Raw genomic sequence first — 20,731 nt, 5'->3', positions numbered from 1 at the left:
GCATGGTACTTGGCAAATGATGTAGTCACTAAATAATATTTGAATGAATGAATCGGTGCATTAATGACTCAATTAATCAATGAATCCCTCTAGGTGATTCAGAGAACACGTGTCATCCAAATCAATAGGCCCAGCAAAGCTTCACTGCTTTCCTCTCCTTTCACTAAGGGGGAAGACAATTTATATGTTGGAGTCAGGACATTTTTGCCTAGGATAGATTGCAAAGACCTAGGTAGGTGTTGAATATATCATTCAATATACTCAAATTCTGGGAGAATTTCAGGCTGGAAATATAAATGACTTCTCCAGTGTTTAGGTAAGTTGGAAGGCTATAGACTAGAGGAAGACACCAAGGAAGAAGGGACATATACAAAAAAGGCCCAAAAACTGTGCCCCGGGTCAGTTTAGAAGTTGTAGAATGGAGGAGGACCCAATAGACAAATGGAGAAGAAGTGGCCTGGATGGACTAGAAAAAAAAAAAACCAGGGGCCTATGCGGTCCTGGATGCCAAGTGAAACAAGGATTTCAGAGGGAGGAGCGATCTACCGCCTGTGTCAAATGGTGCTGAGAAATTGAAGAATGGAAGCTGGTCATTAGAATTAACAATCTGGGGGGAATTAACATTCACAAAGGTCATCTCAGGGCAGTTGGAAGGAAAGGCTACCAGTTAGGGGAGCTTGGTAGATGATGGCACCATTCATAAAATGGTGGCACACGGTGGAGACATGTTTGAGACAAGGGCAAGACATTGAGATCAAATCCAAATGTGCTGAGTTTGAGATCAAGCAAGATGCTTCATATAGTGGACACAGTTTATGTCGTTTTGAAGTCAAATAACCTACAGATGAATTCCAGTTTTGTCACTTAGTCATCTCTATGTCTACGATTAAGTTAGTTGATGTTGATGAGCTTTAGTTCCTTCAAGTGCAAAATGAGCAGAATGACAATGAGCTGGAGAGTTTGGGGGAGATTTATACAAGGTACAGTATATGTAAAATACCTAGCACATATTAGGCACTCACTCAACAAATCCTCGCTGTTGCTATAACCATGTTGGTGAAGATGCCCAAAATACAGCTGCTTGGTAATTCCCATAGTTGGTATTGCATTCTAATTAGAATACTAGAGATTTGATGCAATTGATGTGAACTGTAGTAGATTAAACAGCAGTTCTAAAGAAGAAACTGAACTGTTCAAAATTAAGTAATAAATATTTGTAGTGAATTGACAAAGTCATACAATGCCATATGATTGCGCCATAAAAAATAAAAACATAGAATGAAAATGTTATATTCTTCAGTAGGGAATGGTATCTACTATATACTGTCAATCAAAGAGTCAAATAATAAAACAATAAGGTATTATATAATTTCATTTTGAAAAAATGCACATAGACCTAAAAATGCATGTAACAAAAACTCTACAGTGGTTAGAGGTTAGAGCCATATAAAAAGCACTTTCCCATCTAATGAAATCTGAGCAGAACATTGCAGGTGTTTCTTATTAAGTCCATTTTAAGTACAATAAATTAAGTGACTTGCTCAAGACTACATAGATGGCAAAGCTCTGGCTCTGATGCCATTCCCCAAATCTAGTCCTTTTTATGGTACTGTAGTTACCTCAAGATCCAAGAGAGTCTTGGACTAAGAGTTCAACATACATAGGGAGCTGTGAGTCCAGACAGGTTCCAACTATATCCTAGAAACCATCTCACTAAGGCTTTCGATAAGGCTGCTTTGGGAGAAGGTAGATCTTATGCTCATCCTCTTTCTTTTTCTAAGTATTTCTGCCTTTGCTTTAAAAAGCTCCATACTACAAGGGCAGCAGAACTTTTCACCAGAATTTGGGGCCTCAGGCCAGGGGTAGTAGAATGGCCTCTCTGTGTTTACTGACTTTTAGAACCTTCCTGGCACCTGGGTATAGAGTTGGGAATCACCTAGGTCTTCCTGTAGCTGATGTTCAGTCTGTAAAGCTTCCTTTTAGTTTATCTGTTTTTCTAAAAGCCTTCTAGTGCAGGGATCCATGACACACAGGCTAGTTTGAAGGTTAAAATCCTGGCAATCCAAAACAAAACTTCTTTTTTTAATAGTGCATTGAAGGTCACTAGAGGCAGACATTCCCACATACTATGATTTTTGACACCTGTAAAAAGGAATTTGCAATGAAAATATCACCAGTGAAACTACTGTGGAGAGATGAGCCACCTTTGTTTTTCTGATATACACATATGAACGACTGAAACCTTCCTTGTAGGACCTTTTCATCTGTAAAGTTAAAACACTTCTTGGAGTCATGGAGAAGACAGTAAATATCTATGTATTACCAATAAGTTTAGACGAATTATGCACGAACTAAATTTACACAGTAGTCTAGAACAGGGGTCCCCAACCCCCAGGCTGCAGACAGACTGGTACTGGTCCATGGCCTGTTAGGAACCAGGTGGCACAGCAGGAGGTGAGAGCCTGTGAGCAAGCATCACAGTCTGTGCTCCGCCTTCTGTCAGATGAGCAGCAGCATTAGATTCTCACAGGACAGGACCTGAACCCTATTGTGAACTGTGCATTTGAGGGATCTAGAGGTTGCATGCCCCTTATGAGAATCTAATGCCTGATAATCTGAGATGGAACACTTTTATCCCAAAACCACCTCCCACCCCACCCGCCATCTGTGGAAAAATTGTCTTCCACGAAACCAGTTCCTGGTGCCAAAAAGGGGACCACTGGTCTATATGACTTCCCTTTTTGAAAGTAGAGGGAAGATTCATTGTTCGTTATTTATTATCAATGATAACAACAAAAGACACAATTCTAAGCTTCTCGTGGGTTACCTCATATAACCCTTTCTAAGATGGTTACCATTATTATCACCATTGAACAGATGGGGAATTAGGTTTCGAGAGATTAAGTAACCTGCCCAAAGTGATACAGCTAGTGAATTCATTCATCATATATGTATTTAATGTCCATTATGTGTCAAGTACTATGCTAAGTGCATAAGATATGACAATGATCAAGATAGGCAACTCGTGTTGTCATGAAATGTAAGGTCTAGTATAGGACACAAATTCTAAATAAATAATTTGAACTTCAGATGTTATAAGGATAAGTTCATGGGCTGTGGAAATAGAGATTAGATTATCTTGGGATTCAGGAAGGTCTCCATATAGAGTTAAAACCAATTCATCAAAGAATGCTGGGATATCTTTTCATCCTCCACATTCATAAAGCACTGACAAGGGAGCTCAAATGAGAGTCTAGGTGAGTGGCCACACGTTGCCTTCTCTATTCTTTCTCAGCTTATGCAAGACCATCTGGGCAATGCGCACCATTTTGCTGGAAGAGGACCTAGTCCAGCATCTTTGGGCTCACATGTCATGCACAGAGGTAAGCAAATAACCTCATCTGGATGTCACTATGACAGGGACCTGCTACTCATCACAGACAGTGGCAGGCCTAACTGCTGAGCACAAGATGCTTATATAACAAGCTACCGATGTGTTTGGGGCTTCCCAAACTCATTTGGCAGGTTCAGGCCCATTGTCCAAATCTCCTTCAGCAAGAATCAATGAAGCATGGACATACAATGACTCATTCTGGGAGGATGCAGATGCCAGACAACCTGAGTTTGCACAAAGGCAGCCAAAATGTTTCAGCCTCCAAATTTCAGCAACTCCCATGTCAGCACATGCCTGTGGGAATACACAGCATCCCACTCCAGTGCTAGCTACCCTTCGAGGAAACAGGGCTCTCTGGAGGGGATACATCCATTTTAATTCCATGAGTCTCTGCAAGTCCACATGTTCGACAACTCCATTAGTCATGGATAAGGTACTTAATCAGGTGGGTAAGCAGTTAAGCTGGATGCAAACATCTTTGCGAAGCAAAATGTTTCAAATTGCTCCCCTTCCTCAAATTGTAGATATTCAACTTCTTAAGTTGTTTTATTCAAATGGGATAAGATATAATTATTTTTAACCACTAAGATGAACACCCAAATGCCATTAAAGAGTTACTTTTCTAAGTTAGATTTAGAGAAAAACATACAAATTAAAGATGTTCTATCTGTTTGCCTATATCAGTTAGGGTTTGGGTATTGTAAGTAACTAAAATAGACCAAAGTCTGTTTCAAAAAAGCAAAGTTAAATTATGCAAAATGGGGAACTTATTGAAAAGATATGGGGTAACTCACAAACTGAAGAAAAAGCAGAACAAATAGGGCTTGGAAAGGACAGCAACCAGTAGTAGCTCTGGGGGTCTAGAGAGTAGAATTTAAGGAGCAATATCCCCAGGGAGCTGCCACCCAATGTCTCTGCTCTGTGTCCTGCCCATAGGAAAATTCTGATTCTTGAAAGAAGGAGAGGGTCTGATTGGCTTAGCCTGTGCCTTCCCATAACCCGGTCCACTGGGTAGAGAACAGCAGAGCACTTGGCACTGAAAAAAGCAAGGAAGGGTGCAAATAATGGGAAAAGGCCCTTCCTGAAAGCATCGCTAGGGTGCTTCTTTCAGACAAAGAAGTACTAGACGTTAGGCAGAAAAAACAAACTTCATAATATCTGTATTCTTTCTGATATTATTTCATCTATGAATCCAGTAGGAATTCAGCTAACTTTCCATCACACTCGTTTTGGTTGGCATGACAGGAGCAAGGTCTTTTTTGAATGTGCTTGAGGTCTCTCTGCAAAGACAACATTTCAGCTGAGATATGGGACAAGAAGGAGCTGTTCATTAAAGATCAGGGAAGAAAGTGTTTCAGTTAGTGGGAAAAGCAAGTGTAAAGGCCCTGAGGCAAAAAAGAGCTAGATGTCACTGAGGATCTGCAAAGCCGGTGTGATTGTAGCTAAGAGAAAGAGCTAGCTAGCAGCAGATATGGTCAGAGAGATAAGTAGGGGCCTGGCTATGTAGGACACTGCAGGATATGGCAAGCAGAGACTATTTGAAGTGAATGGGAAGTCACTGGAAGGGCTGATTAGTTGTCTATTTTTGAGCAAAACAATATCACTGAGCCTTAGTTTATTTTACCTTTTTAAAAATGGTCTAATACATAACCCCTTATCAAAAACTCTCAGGGAAAGTTGTGTTTTGGCATTCAGGATTTTGAATATTAAAAAACACCATAGTATATTTATTTTATATAACATCCCAAGAAAAGTCTGGTGTATGTAGTATCTCACAACCCAATATATTATTATTTCTGTGATTCAACATGGGGTAAATAAAGACAAAGTCTATCAATAGCCTCAGTTTGGTTTTGCCACCAAATGAGTTTGCTCCAAACCTGCCAGAAATAAACAAATAGATTAACAAGAGAAGAAAAAAGACAGAAAAATATTTTTTTGTTTTCAGAGCTTTTTGGATTTCAAAGATATGGATACAGGATTGTAGACCTATGCCTGCAGATACAGATTTTCCTGCGAGCCTAACATGCAATGGAGGGTCAATAAATACTTGTTCACTCTCCTTTCTCTGTTACCACCACCACTTGCCTCTCAGTCACAACACCCAAGTTCATCAAAATGAGTACGAAGCACTCCTACCCAGCACTTTTACTATTTTATTTGTTCCACTTTGCATCACAAACTTCAGTTCCCTCCTTCCTCTAGGCTCTGTAGGCTTGAACGTATTGTAGGTTTGTAGATCACAGAGCTTGTCAGGTCTATAGTTTAATGGGGCCAACTGGGAACGCTACCGCCAACAAAATCCCACAAAGAGAACAAACCTTCCTAGAGTTTCTAGGTCAGAACCTACTCTAACAAAGTGAGCTATGAAAGTGCCTTTATATAGTAACTTGTTTAATTAAGGTAACAGATGTTACTATTACACAAGTCCTAGTGAGCCACTATTTAATTGGACACTCATTCACATGGCTTGTGACTGGTAAAAACCAGTTCAAAAAACCATTTCCCTCGTATGAGTTTTTTTTTTCCCTACAATTAAATTGAATAAACAACGCACCCAGCACATATTCATTTAATAGAGACAGCTTTAATGGCACAGGGTTTTAATATGAGCAATAATGTTAGAACAGAATAATTTCCTGGCCTAAAAGGCAAGTTTAATTCTCCGTTTTATCTACCAGGCACTAAGTTAGGCTGACAATCAGCTGTGTAGGAAAAATTATAAAGAAAACCCTCACTTGGGTGTTGTTAGATGTCTGGTATCTATAATGGAAGAGATAGGGATCTGGCTGTAGCTTTTATACTCAGATTTTAATACAATCTGGGAAGAGGGTTAATTGACAACCTGCCATTCACGTCAGTATGACAGAGCAAATGAAGACAAAAAGAAAAACAAAAAACCAAAAAATAACAAGAGTAGATTAGTACAATCTCCAGGGAAGAGAAAACACAGAGTTTCCACTATTAACCATTCATGGTAAAATAAAAAGAACACTGTACTATTATAGATGTGAGGAACTAGGTTCTTGTCCAGACTTCACAGGTAGTCTGAGGGATTTAAAACCTTCTTCTCCTTCTGAATGATCATTGGTAACATAAAGGGATAGAGCTAGATCTAGATGTACAAGCACTATTGCCTATAGGAGGTAAGCAGGTCATAAAAATGAATGAAGCTGGCAAGAAGGTTTTCATGACATGCTTTGCCTGTACACAGGAAAATTTGTTATGGGGCATAAGAGAACATATTCTTTTCCTGTATTTTCTTGAAGTGTGTGGTCTTTTTGACTACATTTTCTTATTTTCACTCTTTGATAGAGAAACAGACGCAAAAAATATTCTGCTTTTATTTTTACTGTAAGAAAAACTACAATGCGAAAACAATGATAAGCAGCAACTGACACCACATCTTAATTTGGGATACAAGGATTGTATGGCTAACTGAAGATTTCATGTTTTTGCTAAAAGGATAACTCTTCTTAGCTCTGGATAAGTATTGCCATACAGAAATGCAGGCTGGCCAGGGGCAGTGGCTCATACCTGTAATCCCAGCACTTTGGGAGGACAAGGTGGGAGGATTGCTTGAGCCCGGGAGTTTGAGACCAGCCTGGGCAACAAAGGGAGACCCCACTGCTACAAAACGTTAAGAAATTAGCTGGGCATGGTGGTGTGCACTTGTGGTCCCAGCTACATGGGGGCTAAGAAGGGAGGATTGTTTGAACCCAGAAGTCTGGGATTATTGCAGTGAGCCATGTTCACGCCACTGCATTCCAGCCTGGGTGACACAGTGAGACTCTGTCTCAAAAAAAAAAAAAAAAAGAAAAAAAAAAGCAAGCTGTCTGTTGCAGATCCTTCAGTTTTTGAAGAGATGTCCGAAGTCTGGATTATAGGGCATGTACCAAATTATAAATGTTGGAACTTAATTTTAAAAAATTAAACGTGGAGCCAGCTAATATACTGTGCTTGCCAAAGAAAGCTCATTTCAGTGAACCCTTGGTTGGATGATTTTTGGAACCTTCTGGTGGGATTCTAAATACTCTTCTTGCTAGAAAGCTTTATTGCTTTACAGTGAGACATGACGTTACATGAGCATATACACGTCAATAGTTAATTATGAGACATGTCATGAATCATCTAACCTCAGTTTTACCATAAATGTAAAACAAAAGTCCTGGGGAAACCAATAAATCCCACGGCTTGGAAAGCCACGCATGACAGAAAGTTCAGGAGGGATTTTCCAAAGCATCCCCTTGCCTGAGATTCTCATACACTCCTATTGACCCTCCCTTCTCCCCTTACCTCTTCCCCATCCCCACTTCCTCTGACAATCAGTGTGCAATGAACCATTTTCAACAATAGTGATATGCTGCATCCCCCAGGGATGGCTGAAAACCAGAGTTTTCAACTGGTAGTTGAAACCCACTCATCTGTTTATCTCTAAAGTTTCATTTAGCCCTGAAATCCTAATAATCAGAGATTATATTAGCTACAGGAAAAGATATACATCCTTGAAAGAAGATGAGACTCTCTGGACCCTACTCTTACCTAATATGACATGCATCTATAAGTTGTACAGAACATTTCCACATTAAAATCTTCTATCTCACTTTTGAAAAATTCCAAATGAATTTGAATGCATAACTATATTGTGATGTATATATAATGGGTTCTATTTTTCTAGCCCTTGATTTTTTAGGTTTGACACAAATCTATCCTCTAGGCAATGGCCATGTACTAACTTAGGCTAATTAAAGTGTCCTTCTTTCCTGCAACTCAAAGCAGAGAAAAGACACTGACCCTCTTGCATAAAAAGTCATAGGAACTAGGCGAAGAGGTGGTTTTATTGATCTGATGTCGAAGTTTTTTATTTTCTTCAGATTTGCTTTCTTCCTTTCCTTCCTGTCTCCTCCCTCCCTTCTTTCCTTCCTCAAATGAAGTTACTGACAATCTTTGACAAAAAGTAAGCAAGAGAGGATAAAGGCTGAGAGGGGGAGGTGCCCAGACATTTTAAGAGAGAGTGTCTGTGGAAAAGGAAAAAGGGAATTCATAAAATGGAGAGTCCCCAAGGCTAAAAATGGGGATACTGTCTAGGTCATATTCCCTGAGTCTGCTTTTTGAGGGGAGGATCGGAAAAAGGAAATGAGGCAGAGGAATCACACTGCGTTCCCTTGCCAAGAAAGAATCAATTACAACTTATGCTTTGAACATGATGAGAAATTCAGACAGATTCCTCCGGGCATCCTGTTGAAGACTAATTGGCTAACATAAGACATTTTTTTAAAAATAATGAGTAGTTCCAAATGTTTCTTCCTATGATAAGGGTGCCATACAGTCATCTCTTATAATTATAGGAAAGAGTACTCTACCCAGATTTCCCTCCTTCAGGCCAAAGCATTCTACCTCCAAAAACTCTGCCCAAGAATATGGGGCAGCTTAAAGCTGTGTCGCTTACTGAATTACCCCCTGAAACGGGGAACTGCCTCCACTAAGCTTATACCCCTTATAGGTGATGATCTGAGGCCCATGACTGGCTGATCCAGGGATTTAAAGACCACATTCCCTTGCCTCAAGGTAAGACCATTCTGAAGGGCTATCTGAGCTCCAGAGCTCTCAGTGGGACTAGCTGAAATCCCAGTTGCAACCAACCTGTAGGACAGTTTCTCTCTCTGCTCATTTCTGCCTTTCTCACTTCCCTGCAGGTGTATCCTCAGAGAGCACTCCCCTATAAACCTTCTGTATGCAACCTGTCATCTGAGTTTGTTTCAGGACACGCAATCTAAGGCAGTAGCAGTAGCCTTAGACAAGGTTCTGGTAAAGTTCAAGAGAGCATTCATGTTATTTTTTACTTCAGTTGCCTCAAATATTTGTTAAATAAAGGCAGAGGCTATCATTTGAAATTTGAAATTATTCCTGTTAGTTTTCTTACATTTTGCTTTGCTGTGTTTTCGGTAGGTGTTTAATAGAGTCTAGTATTCAAGGAGAGCAAAATGTGTGACATATTCAAAAATAAATACAAAATGGTTCTATGGAGGAGCAGAAATAATAAAAGTTTCGTTACCAACATCATGGAGCTCAACTTTTCATGATTATCAGAAAGAAAATGAATGCAGTCACATGGAGGAGGAGCCAGTTCAAGGAGTTCTTAGACTAGATGCTGCTCTTAGCTTTAAAATTCTACTACTTAGATTTATTTTTTAACTCTGTGCTATTGTGCTTCCGAGAATGAAATGGTAAAAAAAATTTATGCTCTAGTTATCTCAAAATGTTGCTGTTAATATAAAATTTAATAAAGGAGGTGTTATATTTCTGTTGGTATTTGAGGGTGTGGAACAAAAACCAAACCAAACAAAGCAACACCAAAAAAAAAACCCCCCAAAAATTCATTTTTTCTCTGAACCATGACCTTGGCTTGTGATTATGTTTGAGTGATACAGGTAAAGGTTATTAGAGCTACTGAGGAAAAATTCATCAATGGATTTTTATTTTTATTTTTTACTATGGAACTACAATTCCATTATTATATAATCACATATACAAATACAAACATCTGTAGGCAAAGTGCATCATATGGGTATCTGTTCCCAGCATTGCAAACACTTCCAAATCAATTGCTAGGGAACTGTTTGTGGCCATTATAAATATTACCAGCCATGGCGGGTGGATCACGAGGTCAGGAGATCGAGACCAACCTCGCCAACATGATGAAACCCCATCTCTACTATAAATACAAAAATTAGCTGGGTGTGGTGGTGCATGCCTGTAATCCCAGCTACTGGGGAGGCTAAGGCAGGTGAATTGCTTGAACCAGGGAGTCAGAGGTTGCAGTGAGCCGAGATTGCACCACTGCACTCCAGCCTGATGACAGAGCAAGACTCCGTCTCAAAAAAAAAAAATATATATATATATATATAAATATATTTATATATTTATATATTACCTAGGAGTCTAAAAATAAACAAACAATCTAAATAAAATTTGTGTCTCTATAACCAAGTATTCACTAATCAACATGAAACGCTGGATGTTAAATCAAGAACGAAGATGGTGCAATTGCTAAGAACCTGCCGAGTGTTCCTTCTCACTTGACTGTGCTCTCTTTGCTTCTTCCACACTTGAGGGAACTAGAAGTAAAGTCCTGTTCTCCCTGGGCTAATTGCAGGCTTGAGTTGTTCATGCTGTTATGCTATATTGGGATAGCTGGTTTGCTTTCGATTTAGCTATTCAGTTTTAGGTCTAACAGCCTGTGGAAAAATACATCAGGAAAAACTTGAGACTCTCTGTAGCTTTTACCCAGCCTTCTTTGTTGTTGACTTTGTGGACAGGAATCAGTTGTGAGCTAAATGATTCTCCTGCTTGCTGATTCTCCCAAGGAACTTGCATCTTTGTTCCACCCTAAAGGCGGCATTCTGACATTTGCCCTCACGTTTCTCTTTGCCCTACTGTATAGTATACACCTCATCTAGATTGGGGACACACAATAGGTGCACTCCCTATTCTTTGCCAGCAATTATAATCTTGCATTTCCTTCTAATCCGTCCTTATACAATCATGGTTGTGAAAATTAATCATGGAATTCCTAAAGTAAATAAAGTCTTACATCCACTTAGAGGAAAGCTTTCCGAAGTTTTTGCTCCCTGAAACCCTAGTCCCTTGATGTATTCTGTGCAGCAAAATTGATTTCCAGATAAATTTGGGAACCACGCTTCCTGAAGATTATCACTGTAATCAACATATTAAGGATTCTGAGACAGTCTGCAATACAAAATGTTTAAATTGTACTTCTTATACTTATTTGATTATAGAACACCACTTTATACCCTATACATCACCTCCCACCCCATCTCAAGAACTCGTGTTGGGAAATATTGATGTAGTATTTACAACTGTACCCTTACATCAAGCTTCACCATTAAAAAGCTCTATATTTGGCCCTACCTCACAGAAGTTAATTTACTAAGGTGTCCTCCATCACCACATGATTTGCCAAATGTATGAAAATTATAAGGCACATCTATGAAATCTTATATCAACTGCAGTAATTGCGTCTCATGAGGAAGGTTTTGCTAAGATTTTACTATTGGACAAACAATTGTTTTTAATTTTATAAACACGATAATTATAACTAATTATGTTTCTTTCTTTGATTGGGTAGCAAGACAGATACAACCAGACCTGTGAATTATACTGAAAGTATTTCTATGTGCTAATTTTATTGCTGCCATTTTTATTTTTCTACTGACAATTCTCCATTATTCCAACTCCCTAAATTACTTACTTTTATCTTTACTATTGCTTTTATTTTTGGAGAAGTCTCTAGTCCTCGTGAAAAGAGGCTGTAAGTCCATTGATTTCTTTCTTCATTTATTGAACACTTATTGACTAAAGCCCTAAGTTGTATTCCAGGGCTAGTGCTGGATAAATAGTGGTGAACGGAACCAGGTAGATCCTGTCCTCACACAGCTTACAGGCCAGTTTAGGAAGGCAGATAACAGTCAACTCAATGAAAACATAAATATGGAATTACAAATTCAGAAAAATGCAAAGAAGAAATTGAAGAGGAAAGGAGGCACTGGTGTTATAGTGAGAAGTGCGGTATACACGGCCTCAGACCTCTGGCACGTACAGGTAGGGAGAGGCAGTTGAAGAAGGAGTTAAAGATGTAAGGGAGGGGAAATGAAACAAAACACAAAAATAATACAGCAAGGAGCCAGACCATGCCATACCTTGTAGGTTGTGTTCAACAGCTTAGCTTCTATCTTAAGCATTTGTGATGAGATTTGATTTCCATTACCATTCTGGCTATGGTACAGAGAACACATTGGAAGGGAGCGAGTATAGAAGCAGAGCGACGCGTCGGGGCTACTGCAACCATCTGGACAAGAAATGAGGGTGGTTGGGCCAGTGCACCAGCAATGCACATAGAAAGAAGGAGATAGATTATGTTCTTTGGAAGTAAAGTTTTTAAAATTTATTGATGCATAGGATAAATGGGGTGATGAAACAGAAATTAGCAGTGATTTCTAGGTTTCAGGCTCAAGCGATCAGAGAGAGGTGGTGTATAACTGACTAAGGTTCAGGGTGGAGACTGGTGGCAGGAGTGAGTTCCTTCTGAAGAATGTTAACCATACATTGCTCAGGGGAGAATCCTGTACTGAAGACACACATTTCAGGGTTGTCAGTACACACATGGTGTTTACAGCCATGGGAGGGGAGGAGATTGCCTGGAGAGAGAGGGAAAGTAGACAGAGCAAAGGAGGCAAAGTGGATGAGGAAGATGCAGATGTGCTGGAAGGAACAATCCAATAGGAACAGTAAGAAAAGGGAGAGTCTGATGATGTAGAGAAAGAGCAGGAATGATTGAAGGAGGGAAAGTCCTTGAGAAAATGAGAAAGGATAATAGTAATTTTAAATTGCATTGTTTTCCTTCTGAGTTGGAACACATTGCATTCACCTGAAAAACATCTTTCCTGATATTAAGAGCAGTCAACCTCATTTTTTCTATAACAATTTTATGCATCCTTTGGAACAAACCACCTCTTTTGGAATAAAACCCTTTAGAGCAAATCAATATGTGGGAAAGTCAATGTGTGTGGAAGCAACTGAAAATATAAAAAGCTCAATTCAAATGTTATTTCTATCACATTGACCATAAAACACAGTCCAGGCCTCCCTTTTGCTCAAGTGCACAATCACCCCCATGACCAGACTTTCAGAAGATGACCTTGACTCTCATATTATTGAGATTGAGGTCAAAGGTATGTTATATGAAATTCCTCAACTCCTTTTACCCTTAACTTCTCTGAGACTTTACTCATCTTCTCTTCCTACCCACAGAGAACAGAGGTTCCTCATCATTTCCCACAATAATTGATTTCTAGTCCATTCTTCTGCTCTCTCCTTGAGAATCATCTCCCCTCCCTTACATCTTTAACTCCTTCTTCGACACAGTGTGATTTCCCTCAAGCTATAAATATTCCCCAATCTCCTCCATCCTAATGAGATCCTTGCCACAAATATGTCACTCTCTTGCAGTATATCTAAGCTTCCGATTCCTTACCTAACACCTGCAAAAAGATCCACTGCATCTGGCTGCTTACCATGCAGCCTGTACAGCTTTTGCACTTATCTAAAGTATTTATTTCAAGGTCACTTGTGAATTCATTGTCACCAAATATATATCATTTGTGGTCTCATCCTGAATGACTTTGTGGCCACACCTGGCATTGTTGACCACTGTCCATTCATGATACCTAGAATTTCACAGCAGCCCTATTTCGTGGTTCTCCGTTTAGCTTTCTGACAACTTTTTCTGTTTCTTTTTCTCTTTCATGCACACTCTGCATAAATCAGAAGAGTCTGTCCACAGCCCTTTTGCTTTTCTCTTTTCTCTCAATGAACCTCCCACACCCTTATTACTTCAAAAGTAACAATTTGGAAAGTCATGTTTCTCCACCTGATCTGTCCCAGGGACTTTAAACTGGCGTGGCCAACTCTGAGCTGCATATGCCCACAGCTAGTGGTGTGCTGTCAATGTTTACCACAGTGGCTCTGGAAAAACTGCCCTTGAAGTGGGCCTATTTCCATGGTGTAAATATTCTGCCGATGGCTAACATCAAGCTATGAATGTGAGCTATCGCTGAACAGAGAGCTGGGAATGGATGTGCAGAATCCACTCTTTTGAGCCCTTGCTACTGGGCTCCAGCACAACAGTGCAGGATAAGCTTTTCAAATTCAACAAACCAACACTGAACTCTTCACCTACTGAAGTTGGGTACTCTACTTCCAGAGATTACAAATAGGCATTAAGAAACCATTCTTTCTTTATGGTCCCATCTTTGTTTTATATTTAGCAGTTTGGGTAAGTGATCTTGCTTGGAGGAATACATCCCATCACATAATGCATCTTACACAGAGCTGCTTTCAGCCTTGCTGACTTACTACATGTGATCATTTTTAGGGGCATGGAAGGTTAAAAAATTTATCCTAATGTCATCAATTATTTGTTTTCTTTTAAATTTTAACTCCTGTTCCATGATATAATCATGTTGTTTCATGTGGGAAGGACAGCTGAATTACAAAATATTACTTATTCTAGGGAGAATTGTAGGAGGAATTGTGTACATTAACACCCATGCCCATACCCCCCCACACACACCCACACACACCTACTCTATTTAATGGAGTCTTTTACCCACCACCTGGATTTCTCATCAGGCAACCTATAATTCTACTATATGTACCCTCTAGGTGCCATATGTTGTAATTATATAGAAAGCCAAGTGTTGCTCTAATTAGATCATTTGGCAAAAGGGATTTAGAAACATCATGATGGATATTTACTAGTAGAGATCTAATTAACTCTGGCATATCTGTGACTGAAATATGAGGAGAAAACTCTATAATGGAAATATAGGGGTCAAACTTAGTATATGATCCCAGACCTTCAATATTTACATGGCATCAATACATCTAAGAAGTCTAGCAGATTTTATTTCTAGAGATGACAAAGTTAGGAGGAACCCAAATCATCTGCCTTGTCTCTACTGAGAAGGCACAAAGCACTGCCTGTCTGGTTTTAATATCCAGTCACATCACTTCAGTTCTAATTGCTCTTAATGACATGCCACTTTGGTTTGAATATTTTCATGATCACTTAACTCCACTTGATGATACACAGCTATTTTCTCTGAACAAAGGCACGGCTGAGGTAGTTCAAGGACTTAATTTACCTCTTCTCCAAAGGGTTTACATGGTTCTAACCCAGCCCTGAAATCAGACCATCCTACCTCTCTCCCTCTCAGGAAATGATAAAGCTATGGATCTGAAAGCTGCCAGTTTATTACTGAAAATATGAAATGAGTAACAGGAAAAGCTGCTATGCCAGTCCTATGCCAGGGAGGTAACGAAAGCTTTATCTCCCTTTTAAAGCTTAGAAAGAAGCATCTAGTGCTTGTTCCTTCCTCAGGCAAACCTGGTAGACATAGATGCAATGAGTGAGACCTAGATTTGAATTCCAGATTTAACATTATCAAGCTTTGCAACCTTAAGTAAGGTAAATAAATTGCTTTCTTCCAGCCTTGGTTTCCTTATCTGAAAGATGGAGTCCCAATAATAGGACTGATCCCATAACATTTTTACGAGGATTAAAAGAAATTAAGCAGAGGGCATAGTAAAGACTAAAAAAAAAACAAGCGCTGGGTGTTACTATTATTATTGACAGATGGGGGGTTGAAAATGCTCATTTTTTTTACAGAGATAAAAATGGCCACAAGATAACCATGAAATACAGGACTAGAGCCAAAGTAATAAGTAACCTGAATCCCCAAGGATCCCCAAAGCCTCAAATGTATTCAAAAATACATTAGTGATATAACGAGAGATCAAAGTCTCATTTCTACTTAATGGCTAGAGATTCCCAAACTTCTTCACAGTTAAGCTGACTCACCGTGTTTCTGGCACTATTATTTTATATTCATTCATATTATTTTACAGTGTTAATCAACTCTAGTTAAACCTGTAGCTTCTTCCTGTTGATGTTTGTCCTTCCACCTCTTCCATCTAAATGCTACAGATGGCAACTCCTCCCCCTGGCTGAGTCCCTCTCTTCCCCTCATTTCTTGTACATGACTTGCTGCACGTACATGGGCTCCAGCATGGAGACTTCTCCCTTCCCTCTCTTCCTCTCTCTGTGGAGCATTTTCTTTCACAAAGGCTTAAACTCACTTCCTGTTGGAAGTCGATTTTGGCAGACTCTGCCTGACTGAGAGTCTCTTCCCAGTCTGTTCCCTAAGCACTGCTGTGGATTCTGTTTGGACTATATTATGTTAATTTGTGCTTCACTGGTGGTTTCTAAATTGTTTGATGTGTGTATACATGGTCACAGTAGCTGAATTTTATAAAACTCTAGAAACCAAGTCCTGTGATTGCTGTCTTCTCTTTCCTTCCCCAACGGAACTAGACCATTCATAAATATTTATCAGCATAAACTTAAAGCACCTGTATAAAATAGTCCACGTAAAACCATGGATCCTCAACCAAGGATGGAGATTTCCCATTACTTCATTTTTTTACTGGTTGTTCAGAAATATGGGGAAGATGACCAGGTATCTACTTTTCTCTCCACTGCCACCATCCCTCACCCTCTGTGTCTTCACATTTAAAGCTCCCTTGGGCTCTGATTTCTCCAGGGAGTTCAGATTTTGGGGGCATGAAAAGAAGTTCTTCCTGGCAAAAGTTGGGAGGTACTGCTCTAGAGAGCAAAGTGAGATAATTCGGACCTCCCACCAAATTCACTTCCCCTTTGCTTTGCATAAGACGGACATGCTGGAAGTGACAATTTAATCAAAAGTGTAAGTCACAAAGAACAAATAAAAGGCACAGCAAACCAAAAACAAACAAAAAACCCAAGGTGGGGGAAGATCATGTTACTATGAAGATGTTTTAATACCCCACATTTCCAGAAATGTACCATGAGTTAGATCAGAGTTTGGCAAACTTTTTCTGTAAAGAGCCAGAGAGTAAATATTTCAGGCTTTTTGATCTGGGTAGGCTCAGTCCCACTTAGTCAATCTTGCCCTTGCAGTGTAAAAGCCGCCAGCCACAGGCCATTTGTGAATGAATGAGTATGGCTGTGTCCTGTCCAGTAAAACTTTATTTGTGGGCACTGAAATTTGACATCGGCATAATTTTTACGTGTCACAAAATGAGATTTTTCTTTTGATTTATTTCCTACCATTTAAAAATGTAAAACCATTCTCAGCTTGCCAACTGTACAAACACAGGTGGAGGGTTGGATGTGGCCTGTGGACTTAGTTTTTCAAGGCCTGGATAAGAGCATTTCAGGGAAGGAGAACAGCACGTTCTCAGGCTTTGCAGCAAGAGGAAGAAGAAGCCATTTGAAGAAAAGAGAGAAGGTCCGTGTGGCTCAAAAACTGAGGGTAAAGGTGAGTGAAGTGAGACAGCTGGTAGACAGCAGGCAGGAGCCTGAGTAGCATATAGAGCCTTACTGGTCATCTCATAAGACTTAGTGTCTATCCTGAAGTCAATGGGAAGCCACTGCTACGTTGTCATACCTGAGTGTGCATTAAAATCCTATGGGAAACAAGTATTCTGATTCCTGGGCCCCATCTCAGAATTCCCGAGAAAGCATCTTTGAAGATGGAGAGTGGGACTCTGCTTTCTAAAACACATCTCAGTTGATTTTGCTGCAGTCAGCCTGGCACTGAGCTGCAGACCTAAATTTGGGAACAACCACTGGATCTTTGCTCTAGGAATGGAGAAACACTGCCTTAGGAAGTTGAAATGCTTTCCCAGGTGGGTGCATGGTAAGTCACGGCAGACACTACCTGAGTACAAACACTGAACTCAACCGATGGAGGACAGGAGATAACTTAAAAGGAAGTGTGAAGCCCCAAGACAAAATCATTACTTCACTCTGTTTCCCAGTGAAATGCCAGCTTCTTAGCTTGCCATGGAATGCTTTTCTCAACTGGATTCTGAGAGATGTCCCAGTTTTATCTCCTCCTGCTCAAACCTTTCACTCTACTTTCCTTTCAAATACATTTCTTTCCCGCTGCTCCTTGCACCTAAATATACTACCACCACCTTCTCCTCAATCCCCTCCAAGAATCAGACGATTTGGGTTGGTTCATTCATTTCATACAAGAACATTAGTGTCTATTCTACTCTAGGTATAGCACAAGGAACTGGGGAACCTGTATGCTCCAACACAAATGGCACTTTTCAGCATGGCCCTTTCAGCCTCTTAGGGAAAATGAACATTAATTAAATAACCAATAGCTGTAAATATGAAGTTTATAACTATGATAAGATAAAAAAAAGTCTCTGGTAAATCATGGAAGAAACTGTTTCGTCCCTTTTCCGTGACACATGTAGAACCTTGATTTAAATTAGGTTATGTTCATAATCTCAAATACATCTTGTACCAGGGAGATACGTGACAGATATTCATTCAATTGAATTTCTCAGAGGTTTATTGTGGTAAGTTTCATCTTGTAGAAGATTTGGGTGAGGGCTGGTTCCAATGAAATCATTTAAGAGGTTGGTTGAATCATTGCAAAATTCACACAAGAGACAATAAGGCCTGAAAACCAGGGGAGTGGCAAAGGACTTACTTGCAAGGAAGGGATTAATATGTGAGACACTTCAAAAGATTTTTTTTTGAAAATCAAATGTTACCTTTAGATTGGACACTTTTTAAAAAGCAGCTTCATATACAAATTCCATATATATGTCTTGAGTTATATAACCACATGTATGTCTTCTGGTATTACTATGCCACATGACTAGAGCAAAGGGTCAGACCCATCTCAGGTAGTCACCGGATTTAGTCATCATTTTAACCCTGGCCATAAAATAACATGCCATACTATACCCACATAGAAAAGGCTTTGGCTGAGGGTAAGTTTATGGGGTCTCCCAGAGGACTGGGCCTGTGGATTCTGACAAACATTTTTAAAACACCAATCTCCCTAAACACTTTTGCAACTGCACTTCAGGAGAGCTCAACGCCGTAACTATTTTATCCATGGCTCTAGGAGAGACAAACTGAAGTAACGGCAAGAAGTTCTAGGTCTGAATTTGAAGAGCGGTATAAGCTCTCTTTCGTAACTGCATGTGCAAAATTAAAATGATAGTACTACCAATAAGCAGGGCAGCAGATTCTAACTAGAGCAATGACGCTCCTGTTGCTTTGATGTTGTTTTGCCTACAAGGCAGGATTTCCATTATTATGGAGATGAACTGCCTCTAATTATTGCAATAACATAATTGTTCCCCAGGGCAGAATTCCTAATAACAGAGCTTTATAGCTCTGCAGCAACTGTAAGAGATATCCTGAGGGCAGGTTTCTCATTAAGAGCACATATATAGACACTCTGCCTCCAGAACAGAGACAGAATGCCTGAAGCAATAAACTTTACTTTCCACACCAGGATTCCATCGGCCTTCTGGGCAAATACCTGCCATCACATTTGCTTTGCCTCCCAGACTGCCAGCGTCTTTGGACCTGGGTTTCACACCTTGTGTGCAACACAGAGTTGTGCAGCCCTGCACTGGGATTTCCTTCCATGTCTTACATGAATTTCAACTCTTCCAAAAGCCTTTGGGAAGAGAGGCAAATTAGGGTTATGATCCAATTTCACTTTGGAGGCAGATACCAGTGTCTATAGACAAGACACATGAGCATGAATTTCATTCTTATTTCAGTTGGATATTTTCACAGAATGCTAGACTTGATCTGATTACACTGCAGGGGTCAGGCAGACCTAAACATGTATTTCGGTTTGGCAAGACATGCCTAAGAATATGGATGTTTATACAATTTTATTGTGTCTTCAAAACTGGTCCACAGTGGCCTAAAAGTACTCTGCCCAAGGTAACGTTAAGGTTCCTAAATCCAGCAGTCATGCTTGCACCATTATTTTTTTGAGGGTCTTGGAAGCACCAAGCGCTTACTCCTTGTTGCACCTTTCTTCTCCCTTGGCTTCTGTTTGTTACTTTCTCCTAGATGTTCTCCCACCTCTTTGAGTCTCCTTCAAACCTCCCAGCAGGCGTGGCTTCCGCTCATTCTCTGAATGTGTCTGTTCCTCAGGGTACCTTCCTTTGAGCCATAGATGTTCTCATTCTGTAGAACTCTCTCTGGATGAACATATGCACTCCAATGCACTCCATGGCTTCTTATCTACTGATGTCTGTATCTCTGTCTCTATTCCAGAACTCAGATCTATACTTCCAGTTTCCTATTGGACACTCACATAGCACTTATGCTATGCCAGGCAGTGTTGTAGTGTTAAAGAACGGAATAAAACATATACAGAAAGCCCAATAGAAAAGGCCTTTCAAAATGGAAGAAGGAGGCAGAAGAGAGGTCAGAGTGGTGGGATGGGGGAAGAACTTGCCTTTACTAGCGTGAAAGAAAATAGAATCTTGGGACTCCAAACTCACTATGCCAAAGAAAAAGTTAAGCTTGGGAACTGAGTCACGCAACACTGCTTTCCTTTTGTTCCCAGACCGATAGCTGTAATTTCACAACCCTGTATCACAGCCTCACCCATAAGCCAGGTTCCCACAATGACAGAAGGCCACGTATCTCCCCAGATGGCCTGCGTCACAAATGAAATTCCTTGTGAGCCCCTAAATCTTTCAGGATACATATCCCCTGTATAAACTAGCCCTAAAACCAAATTCCGTTGAATCTCACCCTGACAACGTCAATTACCAGCTTATCTTCCCACGGAGAGGAAAAGGACAAAACCAGAAATTATCCCTTGGCTGACCCTGCGACGAATGCATAACTGACTTTTTCCTTGATGCCCTCTT

General features: G+C 40.0%; 1 protein-coding gene across 40 annotated transcripts in view, besides 3 other annotated features; it reads right to left on the bottom strand.

Moving 5' to 3' along the window:
- The window catches only part of CNTN4 (contactin 4), a 959,094-nt gene that overhangs the window by 104,045 nt on the left and 834,318 nt on the right, over positions 1 to 20,731 (bottom strand). The gene's annotated exons all lie outside the window — the stretch shown is intronic.
- Positions 3,446 to 3,495: an enhancer, noted in NCBI's record as "active region_19340". NCBI's record gives its function as "activates an Ori minimal core promoter by ATAC-STARR-seq in GM12878 lymphoblastoid cells {active_cell/tissue: GM12878}" and the evidence as "EXISTENCE:reporter gene assay evidence [ECO:0000049][PMID:35858748]".
- Positions 13,446 to 13,585: an enhancer, noted in NCBI's record as "active region_19339". NCBI's record gives its function as "activates an Ori minimal core promoter by ATAC-STARR-seq in GM12878 lymphoblastoid cells {active_cell/tissue: GM12878}" and the evidence as "EXISTENCE:reporter gene assay evidence [ECO:0000049][PMID:35858748]".
- Positions 13,636 to 13,715: an enhancer, noted in NCBI's record as "active region_19338". NCBI's record gives its function as "activates an Ori minimal core promoter by ATAC-STARR-seq in GM12878 lymphoblastoid cells {active_cell/tissue: GM12878}" and the evidence as "EXISTENCE:reporter gene assay evidence [ECO:0000049][PMID:35858748]".

This window comes from Homo sapiens, chromosome 3, assembly GCF_000001405.40.
Source record: "Homo sapiens chromosome 3, GRCh38.p14 Primary Assembly".
Classification (NCBI taxonomy): Eukaryota; Metazoa; Chordata; class Mammalia; order Primates; family Hominidae; genus Homo; species Homo sapiens.
This window is presented reverse-complemented; position numbering and strand designations above follow the sequence as displayed.